Below are 17102 nucleotides of genomic sequence, written 5' to 3'. Positions count from 1 at the left end.
AGTATACCAAAACTCAAAACCCAAACAGTATGGAGTAAAGTTGTGTCCTTCTTTATTTCCTTTACTTCCTTTCTTTTTTTCTCTTTCTCTTCCTTCCTATTTTCCTTCTTTGTTTCTTTTGTTTGTTTGTTTAAGAACAAAGTTATCTATTTTTTCTTTGGTTGCTTGTGCCTCTGGTGTCATATTGAAGAACTCATTGCCTTTCCAAGGTAACAAAATGTATACCTATGTTTTCTCCTAAGAGGTTTTATAATTTTAGCTCCTACATTTAGGCCTCCATTTTTATTTTTGTGTATGGCGTGAGGTAGGTATCCAATTTTATTCTTTTGTATATGGCTATCCAGTTGTCCCACCACAGTTTGTTGAAAAGATTGTTATTTTCACATTGAGTTTTCTTGGACCTTTATTGGTTATCTTTTAATACATATGCTTATATCATTCTCAATTAGGCAGTAAGATTTTTGAGATCAGGGAGCTTCTCCTATCTTTATCTGTACCCCACCATACTTAACAAAATGCTTTACCCATAACAGGTACCTGATGAACTAATTTCTCTTTCTCCAGCCAGGTAGTAAGTTCTAAGGGTAGACAACTTATTTATTCTTTCTCAGCATTTTGCACTGCTGAGTAGGCTGGGGTCAATAGAGGATAATTGTAACTTTGCTTTGATTTTGCCACCACATGATTCTATCATATTCATTTATGACTTGGTACTTTTTAGCTCAGAACACACAACCAAGTTTTCCATAAAAGGAAGCTCACTAAAGGATTGAAGACTTAACCTAGGAAAATTTCAGATTTGAACCCCTCCATCAGTGTTTTATGTTATACACCAAGAATTTAAAACAAATCAGATTTCTTAAATGAACTCAAGCTAAATGAATCTGAAGTAACTATTTCTGTGTATTGGATCTTTGACTATTCTCTTGTTGATGTGAAATTAAAGGTAAATTTTCTGGGTTTTAACAGGTGCTAGTAATTCCTACTGGTCAATGTTGACAAGACTTTAAATGTAAAGCTACATTTTGAATAATAAGAGGAAACATGTATCTTGCTCATGATTTCTGTGCTCCAAAAGTGATTTGTATAAAGAAAGAAAAGGAAATACCCTACATATCCAATAATAGAGGAATGGTAAATTTATATTGATTCATAAAATCCTAAGTTGAAATTAAGTGATGCTTATGAAATTATGTATCAATAAGGAAAAATCTATGATATACTGTTACATGTAAAAAGTAAATATTATGCAGTGATTGTAAGTGAGTAATCTATTACTATGAAGTAGGATAATCAACTATCCTGTTTGCCTGGGACTATCTTGGTTTTAACATTGAAAATCGTGTATCCCAGGAAATCCCTCAGACTCAGACAAACTGGGATGGTTTATCACCTTATTTTAAACAAAGATTATAAGAAAACCAGAAGAAAATGAAAATAAGTTACGTCAGCCTCCTAGTCAATGAGTGCACTTGGGTTTTTAAAGTTTATTTCCTTTGTGGATACAACATTATTTTTACAAAAATGCAAATTGGGAGGAAAAACTAAGGCTAGAGAATATATCTTCTACTTCTTGGCAAAGCATGTTTACTATTGGTCAATGTTATTATTTGACTCTATATTGCCAAAGGGATAATCGGGGAGAAGGTCATAGGAATTTTCATCCTTCTTTAATAGCAGACATTAAAGATGTCTCCTATTATAAGGAGTTATGTGAGGTCAGCTAAAACTAATTATTTGAGGTCATACAAATGACTCAAAATTCTTAGAGAAACCATGGGTTTGGAGAGGAATCCTCATATATATTTCAGAAGAGGAGAAAAAATAAGATAGAAATAAGATCTTGTATTTTTTTAAAGATTTCTGACTTTCATTTTTTTCTCAGGCCTGCTCCTACTATGTCCTTTTCCTTCTCTCATATATTTCAGTCGTCTGGAGTTCTCAGAATAAGGAATCCATTATCAATGACCTATCCCATGAACATTTTTTTTGAGAACCTGTGTAAGACTATATAGACATGAATATTTGATGACCTGACACCTCACCGTTCAAACCTAGATTTGGGTTGTATAAATATCAACTCAAGGCTGTAAGAGCCTCCCATGGTCTAATGTTTCAAGAGTAAAGAAGAATAGACAAACACCCATGTTGGAATCATCTGTTGCAGAAAAGAACACAAAGATAGTTTTATTAATTTAGAACAAATTTTGAGAACTTTACATAGACAGAAATCTTCTATCTCCTTTTTTTCTAATTTTGGGGAATGTCTTCCACTAGTGGTCGCTAAAAATGTAGAAATATCATAGGGAGTGCAAATTACATTGTCTCTTTACCTGCCACAATCTGGCAGCACTCATCATGTAGCAAATGCCCAAATAATAGACTACAGATTATAGTGACTTCACCCTAGGTTAACATTATTTCTAGGTAAGGTACTAGTATATCTGAATTGAAAAGTAGGGCAGCTGTTGACTCAGATTCGGCATTTTAATTACATTGTTTCCAAGTATGATATTCTGAGAGTGTCTATAGCACTTAGTGTCTGCTTCATATAAACTACCAGTTATTATATATTTATGATGCAAGTAGTTTTCCAAATGTGGTGAAAGTCTGAGTCTTTTTATCCCCATGGGTAAAATCTGAATCTGGCTCTCTGTGTCTCTCAGTGCTTGTTTATTGCTGGTCAGAGAGTAAATTCTTGATAAAAGCTGTTGACTTGGCTCTCACAGTTTATGCAGACATTGGAGAGACAATTTGGTTATTTCAAACATCACAGGATTTGAGTAAGAAGACCTGGTTATGAAACAAGGCTCTCATAATTACTAGTTATGACTGTTGACAAGTTACCTTTTCTTGTTTACAAGTTATTTGGCCTCTTTGAATTACTTGTAAAATAGAGATAGGGATTCTTTCTTGATCATGGAACATCAAATGAAGTTATTTGATGAAATACTTTGTCATCTGGAAATTATAAATATAACTAAATGTTAATTATTATTTGAAATTTGGGCACCTCATGGTGGCATTTTCTATGGTCATTTTTTTCTTTTCTCGCATAATGGCTAAAAGTAGGTAGACATGCAAACAATAGCCTAGAGTGGGAGTTAGGAAAAGTTAAGGCAGAGACATGTCCATGTATAAGCTATGCTGTTTTTACAAAAAACAGATGGGTGTTGGCTATTTAGAGCTTCCCTCATGGGGTGTGGTAACTCTAAGAATGTGCCACAATGTCAGCCCTGTAGAAAGATAAATGGAATGGGTTCTGTATTGTCCCTAGTTGTTATTTTTTTTTATCATCCTTAAAACAATGATGCAAAAGGGACTCCACCAAAAACGTAGATGTGGAATAAAAAAAAGATAGTTTAGGAATGTCATGAAGCAGTCATATATCTTTTCCATCAGGTGCAGTCTCCCTGGTTGTTGATGGAGAAAATGACAAAAAAAAATACTATACTAAAAAGCCTATCCAAGGAACAGGTTAGTAGGAAATCACATTCTGAAGCACTCATTCTGCCTTTCTTCAGTGTAAGAAAGTTGCTCAAAAGAAGAAGCGTGACAACACAAGCTGCTACAATGGCTACATTCTCTACATTCAATGTAAGAGAGAAGGAGCTATGGTCACTCCATGCAAAGGCCAGATAGAGATGTGGTGCGTATGTGCAGAGTACCTCAAGAAATGAAAGTCAGCATGTCTCTTGGAAGCTATGAACACTAATGTTTAAAAAAGGAAACAGAAAACAGAAGAAATCACTTAAGGAGAGCTGTCATTTTCTATTGGTGAGGATTCCTGATCTTGGGGAGGTTCTGGAAAGTTCGTCTCTGTTTCTTCTTCTTCCTCTTCTTGGATTGGAATAATTTCAATGTCTTCTTCATTCTTTGGTTGGGAAGATGTTTCAGTTAGCCCAACCACTTCTTCTTTTATTTCAATAGTCTGTTCTTTTTTTTCTTCTGCTGACAGGAGAACTATGTTCTAAAACAGAAAATTAAACAAACCATTCTTTACTTTTACCACTGACACCTTTGTCAACAATCTCCACAAACATTTATCAAATACCTCCTGGTTTTTATGCTACTTATGTCATTTATTATATGCCTTTAAATGCCAAAATTTTTTTGCAGGTGCTTATATCCTTATCAAGTCATTTATTAAAACTCAAGTCTGAATAAATCTTCAAGGGCAGCAGACATTGACCACAGTGCCTGGAATGACCACGTGGTATTGGGAAAAGAACATTGCAGTAATAGAGGAGTTTAGATTTTCGTTCTGATTTGCCTTTAGTGAATATAACTCTGGGAGAATAATTTTCTCTCTTTGATACTATTTTTCTTTAAATGCAAAATGAAGTAATTAGCGATGATTTCTAAATTCTAAATCTAACAGTCTGGTTCTGAAGCAGTTAGTAATATATCTATTATTGGTCTGTTTTTATTTCCCATTTGTGGAGCCCTTTAACCTGTTGTTTTGGAAGAGGAATTAGGTGAAAAGGAGGGAAGAGGGGAATACTGAAAAATGAAACCAAAGAACTAGTGACTTAGCCTTCAACCTTCAACCATCTTGCTTTTACACACTGTATATGGAATCATGAAATCAGGATGGAAGCCTGAAGTCAAGCAGCAGGGAAGGTTAATAAGAAGATGCACAGAGGTGGGGCATGGTGGCTCACGCCTGCAATCCCAGCACTTTCGGAGGCTGAGGTGGGAGGATCACCTGAGGTCGGGAGTTCAAGACTGGCCTGGCCAACATGGTGAACCCCCGTCTCTACAAAAATACAAAAATTGGCCAGGCATGATGGCGGGTGCCTGTAATCCCAGCTACTCGGGAGGGTGAGGCAGGAGAATCGCCTGAACCCGGAGGCAGAGGTTGCACTGGGCCAAGATCGCGCCATTGCACTCTAGCCTGGGCAACAAAGTGAGACTCTGTCTCAAAAAAAAAAAAAAAAAAGACGCACAGAATATAGAACTGTAGGCTCTAACTACAGACTTATTTCAAATTTCAAGACATCATATTATTTGCTTTCTAGAAATATGCCAAGACCAATTTTTTTTTTTAAATCAAGCTCCTAGTTTCAACAACTCATCAGATTACATTCTCCATAAATGATCCTTTGTGGATGTGGATTTTCTAGAGGGAGGTTTTGGCCAGAGGGGCTACTACTTACAGATTTGGGTCTGGAGCACGTTCTTTTCCATTCATTCTCAACGATGCCAGCTATTACAAGTTCCTGGAAGAAGGCAAAGATCAGCATCACTGACAAAATGCCCTGAAAAACAACAGAAGAATGAAGGTGAAAATGTAATAATGGCACAAAGAACATTGTTGGTGTTCAGTAAGTTATTGTTGACTATAATTGAACGATTAAGAGATCAATTCTTTAGACAAGTAATGAATAGCTGTGAGAACTGCTAGTACAGGAGACAGCATCTTTATAACCCTAACTCTTAACACAACTTTTGGCACACAACAGATGGTTAATGTGTATTGCTGATAGAAAGTAAGGTATGAATAATCAGTTGAAGAATCAATTCTGTATAGGAAAGAATAAGTAATGAGTCTCAAATTAAATTGTATTCAGCCTTAGTTGGTGTGGCATCATGCCTAGGAGACCTCTTCATCCTTGGGAGATGCATTTTTTTTTATCTCTTTCAAACTCTACATTTAAAAGTCCTTGGGCAAAAGATATTCATAACATCTTAGGAATTTCTTCTATGCTCATCTTAGTTAATATAATGGTAAATATTAATGCCATTAATGATGTTGAGAATAATTAATGTTAAAGCCAATGCTTATATAGCACTTCTGTGTACCAAACACTGTTCTAAATGCTTTGTATATATTAACTTATTTATTCCTCAGAACAACCCTATTAGATAAATAGTGTTACCATCCCCATTTTACAGTTGAAGAAATTGAGGCACAGTGTGGTTAAAATTCTTTCCCAAAGCCACACAGACAGTAACTAGCAAACTCAGGTGGTCTGGATCCAGAGTTCATGCTCATAATAAACAAGTCATCCTTCCTCCCTGGAGAGAAATCCAATCTCACACTTACCAAGAACACTTACCAAGAACAGAGATTGTATGCTGTAACAGTATTGGGTAGATGGGGAGTTTTTCTCAGAGGGATTAGCTGGTTCACAGTTGTATATGTTAATATATGGTGTGTGAGCTCTAATAAAATTCAGACTCTCCATTTTTAAAAAATGGGAAATTTTAATATTAAGTATGTCCATGATTGAAAGAATCATTCCAGAAATGGCAGCAAAGAGGCTCAATGAATTCATTATCATTTTTCCTTTGACCTGAAATGGAGACACAGATTTATTAATTGGGTTTGATTTCCCTTTGGAAAACATAATCTGGGAGGGAATTCCAAATGCAACTGCCCTGACTCACAAAGCAACTACAACTAAATATACTGAAGTTCTCTCAGTTGTTTTTAGCCTCTTTGTCACTATAAAATAAAATCATGTCTCTATCCTGTTCTTTTCTCAGTCTTCCCTATCTCATTCACCATCCATCTGTTTTATAAAGCAAAAATTCTAAGAGTAACCCTTGATTCTATATCTTGTATCCTTGCATTTCCTTCACTGCCACTGCCACCATCCTAGTAGGCACTCAATAAATGTTTGTTGAATAAGTGAAGATAAATATTATCCAGTTTATTATCTGCCTTCATAAATAGGTAGAGGGAAGAGAGTGAAGAAGTTTCTTGTATCACACTTTAGTGGGATGGTATTATGAAGTATAGGTTGGGAAGGTTCAGATAGAACCCTCTAGATCTGTACTATCAAATAAATGGAAATAAAAAAAGCAGAAGCAACAACAGTAACAACATCTATTCCTGCTGACATAGGTTGCAATCAGCCCCAGTCAGCTATCTTCCAAAATACAATTAGGGCTGATGTCTTTGGGTAGCATAGGTAAGAAAATATCAGTGTGAATGTTCTACCTTGCAGGGATGATAAAAGGTTGAAACAGGAAAATATAAATAACAAGTACCATAATGATATGGGATTATTGATTATTATTTTATGCTGCGCATATTTCATTCCTGGCTCTATGACCTACACATGGCAAGTCAGTAAATCTGGCTGTATCTAGAGAATAATTTGATGTTCATAAAAAGTTTTCCCCCCAAACTGAGTGTGTCAGGCCACTTTAAGACAGGAACCATCTCAATCCACCCATTCCCTCATTGATTATGAAAGTGACACAGTTTAGTAACAGTGTTGGGGGAGGAATTTTTTGGGAGCGAACTTGCTGCTAAACTCTTTTCATCCATACAGCATCAGCAGCTCTGCAGGCCAGTTTCCTCTGGATCTAGATGAGTCCCTAGGGGTTTTATGGGCAAGACCACAGTGTAGTACTTTATAGCCTGTGAAGCACCATCACACACTCTACTGCCTTTCATCTCCATTGGACGTCACATGGTAGCAAGGACTGTTACCCTTCCTTTCTAGGTGAAAACTCAGGAACATAGAGGTAAACTGACTTGTTCAATGTTACGGCCAAAAAATGGCTTAGCTAGAATTTGAATCAATCATGACATTGATCAGATAATTTTCCTAAATGGTGATCTGGGAGAAATGATAGGGCTTTCAGAAAGGTCTATTATTTTCACACAGCATTTAACGTTCTTAAGACTGTAGGTATGGTTTTCATGGATCTGCTTTTAGTTCTGTTCCCATGAACATACTTCAGATAGACCTCGCTTCTAAGTTTTTCATAAATAAAATCACAATAACATTGTGGAGGGTCTTTGCTTTTTAGGGCTGAGAGGCTGTGATACCTTGGCTTTTTAAGGGTCTCAGTTTTTAACCGAAAAAAATAGGTACTTCTCTGACATGTGGGAAAGAAGGACATATGGTTACTTGCCAAACACTTCCTGGAGTTTTTCTCCGTTGCTGCCAGGAGTGATCCGGAAATAATATACTGTAAAAAAGAGAGGTGGGGGAGATGGAGAGGGGGTGGGCAAGACAGGAGATAGAGGAGAGAGGGAGATCACTTTTTAACATTGATAACTGGTCAGAAAGAAGCCTACACTTTCAGCAACTTTCACACAACCATCCACCCATTTTTATCAGTTGTATTCATTTTTCAGCTGTCATATTCCTCCTTTATTCAGGCTCAGTGACACTAAATTCATGCCTTTTACTCAATCATCTGGGGATCTGTGACTAGGAATATAGTAAGACCAAAGAGACAGAACTCAAATTTCCTCATCAATTAATACTCATACCATAAATTTAAAAGTTTTATTTCTAGTTTTTCTTTGTTTTTAACTTGTGGAACTGCCCTTTGGGGTTCACAGTGACATAAATGACTCTGATGCCCTCTGAAGAGTGAACTGATGCAGAAGGAAATACTTGACCTGAATGGCACAGGCACTCCATGAAAACATTGGCTGTTACAGGAAGTGATGATGACTATTGCTCATCTTCCTTTTCTCACATTCAGGCTGTAGAATGGAGGAAACTCTTGTTCTAACCCATCTCTACTTGTTTGGAAAATTTTAATCCTGGACTTATCTTTTATAGTGGCAACTATGAAAAGTATCACGGGGAAATAAACATCACTGTCCTATGTGCCACACCCAGACAGGGTTACAGATTTGGAAAACATGTACGTAAAACAGCCAAAAGAGTGCTGCTCTGTCGATAAGCAAAATGAGACTGACTTGTGATGGGACAGGTTTCACCAGGTACCATAGTAACCAAACAGAATTGTAAGCAAGAAGGGGTAGATGGAAGTGGATGTTCCTGCTGCCTCTTGCTTTCCAAAACATCTTGCTATCTAGTCTAAATGTCTAGGGCCACCCTCCCCACCAGAACTGACTTTGGAGAGTTCTTGCTTTGGACAGTCCCTGTGAGATCCATGCAGGGCCCCTTTCTCTGAATTCACATGAAACAGGACCACTGACTCTCAACCATGGGATTTATACTCAATTTGGTCAACCTGTCTTCTTAATTACTTTAACCCAATAATATTTCCTACTCATATATTTCCCTCAACACAGAAATAATCTGGCATATCCCTGTGGAGCCTTTTAACATTTTTGTCTGCACCATTTCCCAAATGGCTGCTATTCTTTTACTCACCATAATGCCTCCCCAGAGAGGGTACCACACAGTCACACAGATGGGTGCATAGATCCCTGCTGGGATCATCAGAAGACCCCCCAGGGCAATGTGGAAGAGCCCATTCATAATCTGGACAGCCTGGGGAGAGAACAGAGGCAGCAGTGGATGAGCTGAAATCATCACTGCTAGCAGGCAAAGACAAGGTTGGAAGCTCTGGCTCCTGACTTGGAGCTGTGAGGAATGCCTAAAGGAAGCAGTGGAGGTGCCAAGAATTTTGTCTTTTTCTTGTTCGAATCTGTTTCCTCAACCACATGGGGCATTTCCAGGGAGCAGGTATGCCTGGGATTCTGGCAATGGACTGGGATGGGGGACCCCTGCATATACAAGCCCCAAAACCAAAAGGTGACATAAGATCACCCAGAGGTGATCTAAGTGATAACTTCTCTGATGCACCCCTGATTTGGCCCACTGTGTTAGACATAAAGAAGACATCAGGTTGGATCCCAATTCTTCAAATTGGATTGAATTCTGTATGTGGCCTATACCGCATCAGCTTCTGTCAGCCAGAGAATCCCTACGACATGGGATGGAAGGCAACTGACTTACCCCCAAAGTCTTAGATTCCCTCATGAAGAAGCTTTGCGTGGGGCCCACCAGTGAAGACATCCTCCTGAAGAGTGGTTTTGGACCAGATTGCATAGCAATAGGGCCTTTCATTGGCTCTGCCGGGAAAGTCCCATTTACTGAATTTCTGGGTGTTGTCATTTTGCTCTCAAAACTCCTAAAAATAAAACAAATAACAAAATGAGGAGAGCAAGAACAAGATTTTTGGCAGTCTTACCTTGTGTCATGCATCTGAATGCTTCTCTCAGCATTTCCTCCATGAGTGTCATTGAGGGTAGACATGGCCTCTTCCGAGTGACCTTGGATCTGAGGCAAGGCCTACTGCTGAGTTCTGAGAAAGGAGATGGAGGGGTTGTTTAGGAAGAGCATGTGGGCCCAGGAGTCCCTGCCAGTGATCTTGACAACTGGGTTTGGGGCATTCTTTATCTTTGTAGAGGACACCTTGCATATATGACTGCATGTCCTCTTTGTTTCTTATTCCTGGATGCTTTTCTTTTGCTTTAATATTGAAAAATGTATTTTCAATGGACTTGTCCTTGTCCTTTTGCTTATCTGCCTTTGTGCATTATGATGGGCCAGAGGCAACATTGCAGAGTATGGTAAGGACTATCTGTAGAAGCAGGAGGGGTCGATTCCAGGCCTCTCTCTGTCTCTAACTCTGCCACCTTGTGCAAGTCACATCAAGAAGGCTCTCTAGGTCGGGCACGGTGGCTCATGCCTGTAATCCAAGCACTTTGGGAGGCCAAGATGGGCAGATCACCTGAGGTCAGGAGTTTGAGACCGGGCTGGCTAACGTGGCAAAACCCCATCTCTACTACAAATACAAAAATTAGCCAGGCATGTTGGTGTGCACCTGTAATCCCAGCTACTCGGGAGGCTAAGGCAGGAGAATTGCTTGAACCCAGGAGGCAGAGGTTGCAGTGAGCTGAGATCATGCCACTGCATTCCAGCCTGGGTAACAGAGTGAGACTCGGTCTCAAAGAAAAAGAAAAGGCTCTCTAAGGCTTTCTAATGCAGTATATAAGACTGTGGCCTCCTGAGTCAGATTGCCTAGGTTTCAATAGTGATTCCTCCATTTGTTCTGAGATGTTGGGCAAGTTCTTTAAATTCTCTGGGCCTCAGGTTCAACTGTAAAATTGAAATAATAATAATTCTTATCTCGTGGGCTGCTATAACACTTAACTGGGCTCATGGTCTGTGCATGGCTAGTGTCTTTTTGTTCAGGTGTAGCTCAAATGTCAGCTCCTAGAGGAGCCTACCTTGAACCCTCAATCTATAACATGTACTCCTATTTGCTGTCTTTTACAAAATCCTATCTTAATTGCTTTACGGCATTGATCACTGTAGGAAATTACCTTATTTATTTAATTGCTTATTGTCAGTCTCTTCCCCACAGAATGGAAGTTCCATCAAAGTAGAGATTTTGTTCTCTCTTGTTCAGGATCTAAAATAATTTTTGGATTTAGTTACTTCTTAATAAATATTATTGAAGAAATAAATGTATGCAAAGAACCCATGTTGGAATAAATAGTTATTTTTGTTGCTATTCTTGTTCTTTGTACTTTGCTGAGCATTAGTTTCGATTTTATCCTTCTGTAAAGTTAGAACAGTACCCCTCTCTGAGATGTAAGACATAAATAAGTTAACATATGTAATTGTGCCTAGGACAAAGGGAGAGTGTAGTAAATGCTATTTATCAGTTTTCATGATTTATTCATTTCTGAAGTGAGAAGGCAATTAATACGGCCCTTTCCAGCTCAGACATTTTAAGATTCTGTTCAATCTTCATCTTGGGTTTCCTTAGCATTCACTTGTTCATGTTAACCACTTATGCGGACTCCACTGGGTCTTTCCTGGAATCTGAAAATCCCTCTTTTGGGGACACATCTTTGCTCTTGTCTTTATTGCTTGTAAGTCATGTAAGATGTCTTGGAAATCAAGACTGTCTATCCAGGTCACATATCTTACTGAAGCCGGTGCCACATCCCAGCCATTAGACCACAGCCTGAAGTATATCTTACTGAAGTCAATCAGAGCTGAGTAGCTGCAGGTGTGCTGTAAAACAGGCAGCTGACTACTGTCACATTTATACCTACTTTAGGGCTGGAAGTAAATTTGACACATGGCATCTCATCTGAGCCTTATAGAACAGGCAAGGGGTGAATCATCACCTGTGTTTTATAGAAGAGGAAACAAGGGCACGGAGAAGCTAGGTTACTTGTGCCAAGTTACATAATTAGTAAATATTTTTTGTTTGTTTGTTTGTTTTCATGACAGGGCCTCGCTCTGTCGCCCAGGCTGCAGTGCAGTGTCATGATCACAGCTCACTGCAGCCTCTACCTCCTGGGCTCAGGTGATCCTTCTGCCTCAGCCACTGGAGTAGCTGGGACCACGGGCAACCACCACCATACTCAGCTAATTTTTATATTTTTTTTAGAGATGGGGTCTTGCCATGTTGCCCAGGCTGGTCTTGAACTCCTGGACTCAAGCAATCTGCCCCCCTCCACCTCCCAAAGTGCTAGGATAACAGCTGTGAGCCACCATGCCCAGCCTGTAAAGATTTAAAATGAAGACTTGGATCTCTCAAATTAGGCATCCAGGGTACCAGGCTGCTTTGTCTCCTGTGAGAAATAGGAATTCAGCCTTTCCCTTATGACCCCTCTTTTCTCCTTCCAATATATGCACTATGTGAATGACTATAAATCAGTTGAAAAGTATTATCTGTCTGGCGCATGGGCTAGAGGAAAGAGAGAAGAAACTTTGGTTGTTTCTCACTTGATTTTGCCCCTGCCCTAGATAGCCAGATGCCACATGGTCCTGGGGATCTGCTTTGTACAACAAGCCACTCTACAAGACCTCTAACAAAAACAGATATTTTAATATAGCCCACTAAAGAGTTTGCGGACTGATTCTGGTCACTAGGTAGGATTTCTAGAGCTAGTCCAAACCTCAGAAACCATTCTGTTCATTTCACAAATGAGGAAGCTGCAGTCTGGGTATAGAATTTGCCTTAGTAAAGACCTCACAGTTAGCAACAGAGCCAAGCTAGAAGGCACTCACCATGGCTCTGATGTTGATGCTTTTTCTGCTGTACCATAGGTGAGTCCAGATAATTATAGTTGTTTACTGAGCACCTACTATATACTAGAGATATTGTATATGGTATTGCCAACTCACTCAACACCTTCGTAAGTAGGCATTTTGACTACTTTCTGCAGATGAAGAAATGGAGGTTGAGAGAGGTTATTTTTCCCAAGGTCCTATGGCAAGTATGGAATGAGCTGGGAGTCACTACACTCCGCCCCAGAGGGGTAACTTTAGTGAAGATAACTTAAAATGCAAAGGTCATCAATTGTTTGAACTGAAGGAGATGATTGGACTGCCATTGTTTTAATTTCATTTTATTCATCAACTGCTTGATTAAAGCTGTGTCTGTATTATTGGCGAGATAAACTTTTTTGTAAGCCAATTCTACTTGGGCTATGCCTGTTGTAACTAATGGCAATAATGACCATGAGGGCTGTGTGTGTGTGTGTGTGATATTTCTCTGTTAAAATGGTATCTCATGGTGGCAACTATACTTCTACAAACCTTAAACAAATATTTGTATAAAATAGTAGTTTATAAAGAAACACATGAGTGCTTTCTCTGTTTTTTTATTTCTTATGGAAACTATCTTTCATATATATATCTGATTATATATATATCTGTCTCATATATGAGAGGTAAATATATTAATCGATTTATGGCATTGTGGGCTGACTGTAATGAAAAGCTTTCGTTCCATGAGAATTCATAAATACATAAAACTCGCCTACGGAGATTGGAGATTCTCGCAATTTTGCCTTATCATTAAAATAAATTGTTCACAATGACTTAGTGCCCAATGCACAGTTATGCTCAAAGACTAGTTGGTAGATTAGTAGGGGTTATGGACCACATTAGCCGCAATATGATAACAATAAGATTTTACATTTGCTGGTGTCCAAATCAGCATGAATGTTAAAATAGAGACTCAGGTGATCACTCAGTACCGCATTTAATTACTCACACTAACTCCTGCAAATATTTTTTTATTTTTAAAGGCACCCCTGTTTTCATGTCCATCCACTGAATAAGATCTCACAGCCTTTATGGGTTTTGGTTTGAATAGACTTTTAAGTCCACTCGTACCATCATGTACTGAGAAGTTTAAAAACTGCCTCACTGTTGTTACCTCATCTTCATTCTCTTCCACTCAAAATAGTTTTGCATTTTTATCCCTTCTGGCCTCCTGTGCACCTATCTCCGAGGAAGAGTGCTCTTACTTCCCTTCCCTCTGTGCTTTTCAGCCCATCTCAGTCCAACCAAGCTGTTAGCCCTTCCAAGAAATTATTTCTTCTTTGCACCTTCAGTCTCCCAATTTCTGGCAATATGTAGCAGACAGAGTTAGTCCCAGCTCTCTTGCTTGCTCCTCTTGTGGTCTCTCTGTAAGTTTAAGGTAATAGTTACCTTCCCCATTTCAAAGTATCATTTTGAGAATATGAGATAAGTTGCATTTGTTAAGGTGCTAAATACTCCTTTTATGACTAAAATGTACTTCAGTGTCCCTGAATCCCAAAGTCCTCTTCTTTTAATCTAGCAATGTCCTTGCCCACTGCCCAGGCTCACTTTTTCTTCACCGCAGCTGCTTCAAAGCTTTGCTACCCACTCTCTTCCCCCACCTCCTCTCCACCCACTCACTTCTCAATGCTTGGCAACTAGTTTCCGCCAGTCAGTGGACTGAAACTGGTCTTTGAGGACTGTGCTGTGAAGTCAGTGGTCTTTTCTCAGGCCTCGTGTCTCAGATTGTTTTATTTGTTTCTCCTGCCACCCAGGCTTAGATAGTTGGGACCACATTTCACTTTAGCTCCATCATCTCTCAGTCCATCTTCATCTTGGCTGTTGGTCAGTCAGTGGCCAAGTCATGCCATTTCTACCTCTGCAATACATTTTGCATGTGGGTCTTTTTTCTATATCCAGAGTCACCTGTGAGTTTCTCATTTCCATTCATGCTTTTCTGCCTTCAGTCTTTCTCTTTTCTAATCCATTGTCCACAAGGCTGCTACATCAAGCTCCCGATCACTGTTTTGAGTGATGCTCTTCCTGAGCCTGAACTCCTTTGCTGGCCTGTCATTACCTGCTGGAGAAACCCTTCATCTAACCCCTCAAGGCCTTTGGAATTCAGCCCTGTATGACTTCCCAAGCTCATATCCCACTACCGCCACCAGAGCCACTGGTCTATACATGTCCTCTACCTTCTTTCCTGAATCTTCTCAACTTTGAAGTGTTCCTTCTCCCTCCCTCTTTACTTTCAATCAAACTCTGCATTAGATATGCACATCACCTGAGGGCGTTCCTGCTCTCCTTGCCTGATTGCAAGGAATTCTTCAGAGCTCCTAGCTCTTTGCTTTCCTTACTAGACATCAACTACTTTCTTCGGAGAATCCTGTATCCTACTAGACTTGCATAGGGAACCTGTTTTCTATGTACTATGAGCTCAGTTACATTAAGCTGAACATCAAACTCAGCTACTTCCTCAGGGAAGCTTAACAAGTGCTCACAATGGCCAGGTGCAGTGGCTCACACCTGTAATCCCAGCACTTTGGGAAGCCGAGGCAGGTGGATCCCCTGAGGTCGGGAGCTCGAGACCAGCCTGGCCAACATGGAGAAACCTTGTCTCCACTAAAAAATGAACAAACAAACAAAACACACACACAAAAATGCTCACAATGCTGGATTAAACATTTCTTTCCACCGGATTCTCAGTGAGATTAAGCCATTTTATGGGAAACAGGGAAAGGGAATCACTTATATACTGGATTCAGAAAACAGTAATGGCATGATTAAAATTAATCCTTGTTTTCCTTCATTAGAGCTCCCCCACATCTGCAGCGCCCCCTCTTACTCTTGGTTTCCCATGTGATAGATTTGAGGCAGGATTTCATGCTCAACTTGGTGTCCACAAATCCCCTCCAGAAAATGTTAGCCTGTAAAGCCACCTATACTTCTAGGTATATTTACATTTAATGTAGACAAAAGCATTTACAGGAAGACAAATGGAGTTTTTTTCATTATGCCTATGACTGATTATTTTCTCATTTGGTATTGGGAAGTCCTAAGGGATTCAGGATTTTAGTTCCAATTTTCCTAATGTAATGGGTACCATTGCCCCCATTTTATAGATGAGGAAGCTGAGGCTTTAGAGGTTTAGTAATTTGCCCAAGGTTATATTGTTTGTTAGTGGTAGAGCTCCAGTTTGAACCCAATGGTTTAGAAACCATGATTTAATATATATGCTGCAATCTACTACTTTTGTGGAATGATTCACAGTTGACTGCATAGGGTAATTGTTGAGAGGGAGACTGATTAGAGGAGTGAGTGGGCAGCAAGCCTTGATATCGTCACCCCTCCTTAAGTCATAGAACTATTAGGAAGTCTGACTAGGGAAACTCTAGAATTAAGATCAAGAACCTCCAGTCTTCAAAACCATTCTATACCTTATCCATCACCTCCTTTAAGTCATTTAAAGAAAGCAAATTGATTCCTTACCTGAGTCTCCAAGGCCTCAAATCTCAAGGGCTGATTTGGATGCTAGCTGCGGAGTTCAGTGGGTGCAGTTTGTTTCTCAAGCACACTGGGAGGGTGAGTGGTGTAGTCCAGGCCTGAAGATGAAATCGCTGATAGACATCAGGTGACAGGAAATCAGTAGCTTCTGCTACCTTGGGCTTCGCTCCAATTACTTTGGTTTAACACTTACCATAGCTGAAGGAGGTGCAAAAAAAGTTTCTGCCTTACCAGGTTTCACTTCTTGAAAAAGACCCCAGGGGACTGCCTGGCATGCTCATGCTACCTTAATTAGAAGAACTTCTGCAGCCCCCACCCTATAAGCAGGTGTGGATGGTAGGTCCCTGAGGACAAGAAAGATTCTAGAAGTTGGTCAAAGATGGGCCGTTAGCACTGACTTTTACCTTCTGGCTTCACTTTTAGGGCTGAGTAGGTGGGCAGGAGGCATCCATGCAGAGATTCAAGAATCACTGAGGCTGTACACTTGGCAGCACTATACTTAGGGGTCCCCAAATATTGTCCTCATTGGCTCACACTTAAGTTTCTTATGAACCATGTATATATCTTGTGTCAGATTTAGCAGAAATGGCCTAAAATTATACTTTAGTGCCATAGTACATGTACCCAGCCACTCAAAGCAAGAATTAGCCTCCATATTTGGAAATATAAATTGAAATAGCACTTTTACCTCTGAACCCACCTTTTTCTTCTGTCTGTCAAGTTCCCTTGTGTCCCCTCTCTTTTTAGTCTAGTCTGGAGCTGCAGGGTCATCAAGCACAGTACTAGATCAAGTAGGGAAATGGAAGAAGTTGG

The 17102-nt window shown here is 39.6% G+C and overlaps 1 protein-coding gene across 3 annotated transcripts, besides 1 other annotated feature; it reads right to left on the bottom strand.

Annotated features, from left to right (window-relative positions):
- MS4A1 (membrane spanning 4-domains A1) lies at positions 1468-16373 on the bottom strand. 3 transcript variants are annotated; one of them, NM_152866.3, is made up of 8 exons: positions 16275-16373; positions 11060-11148; positions 9687-10035; positions 9099-9218; positions 7876-7932; positions 6063-6299; positions 5160-5261; positions 1468-3970 (listed from the first exon to the last, which is right to left on the bottom strand). In NM_152866.3, exons 3-8 carry the CDS (start codon positions 9843-9845, stop codon positions 3752-3754), a joined length of 894 nt encoding a protein of 297 aa, NP_690605.1. In that variant the 5' UTR covers positions 9846-10035; positions 11060-11148; positions 16275-16373; the 3' UTR covers positions 1468-3751. The 3 variants fall into 3 exon arrangements, with proteins under 3 accessions (NP_690605.1, NP_690606.1, NP_068769.2); NM_152867.2 differs by lacking the exon at positions 11060-11148; NM_021950.4 differs by lacking the exon at positions 11060-11148 and having other exon boundaries at positions 9687-9861.
- Positions 14185-14294: an enhancer, noted in NCBI's record as "active region_4770". NCBI's record gives its function as "activates an Ori minimal core promoter by ATAC-STARR-seq in GM12878 lymphoblastoid cells {active_cell/tissue: GM12878}" and the evidence as "EXISTENCE:reporter gene assay evidence [ECO:0000049][PMID:35858748]".

The sequence above is a fragment of the Homo sapiens genome, chromosome 11 (genome assembly GCF_000001405.40).
Source record: "Homo sapiens chromosome 11, GRCh38.p14 Primary Assembly".
Taxonomy (NCBI): domain Eukaryota; kingdom Metazoa; phylum Chordata; class Mammalia; order Primates; family Hominidae; genus Homo; species Homo sapiens.
Note: the sequence above shows the minus strand (reverse complement) of the source record. Positions and strands in the feature narration are given on the sequence as shown.

What these genes read in the sequence shown, in the direction of transcription:
- MS4A1 (NM_152866.3), bottom strand. Translation starts at nt 9,845, where the DNA reads ATGACAACACCCAGAAATTCAGTAAATGGGACTTTCCCGGCAGAGCCA. An exon ending in GGGAATCTAAGACTTTGGGG is followed by an intron (nt 9,219 to 9,686) that starts GTAAGTCAGTTG and finishes TTCTCTCCCCAG; the next exon opens with GCTGTCCAGATTATGAATGG. An exon ending in CGTGCTCCAGACCCAAATCT is followed by an intron (nt 3,971 to 5,159) that starts GTAAGTAGTAGC and finishes TTTCTGTTTTAG; the next exon opens with AACATAGTTCTCCTGTCAGC.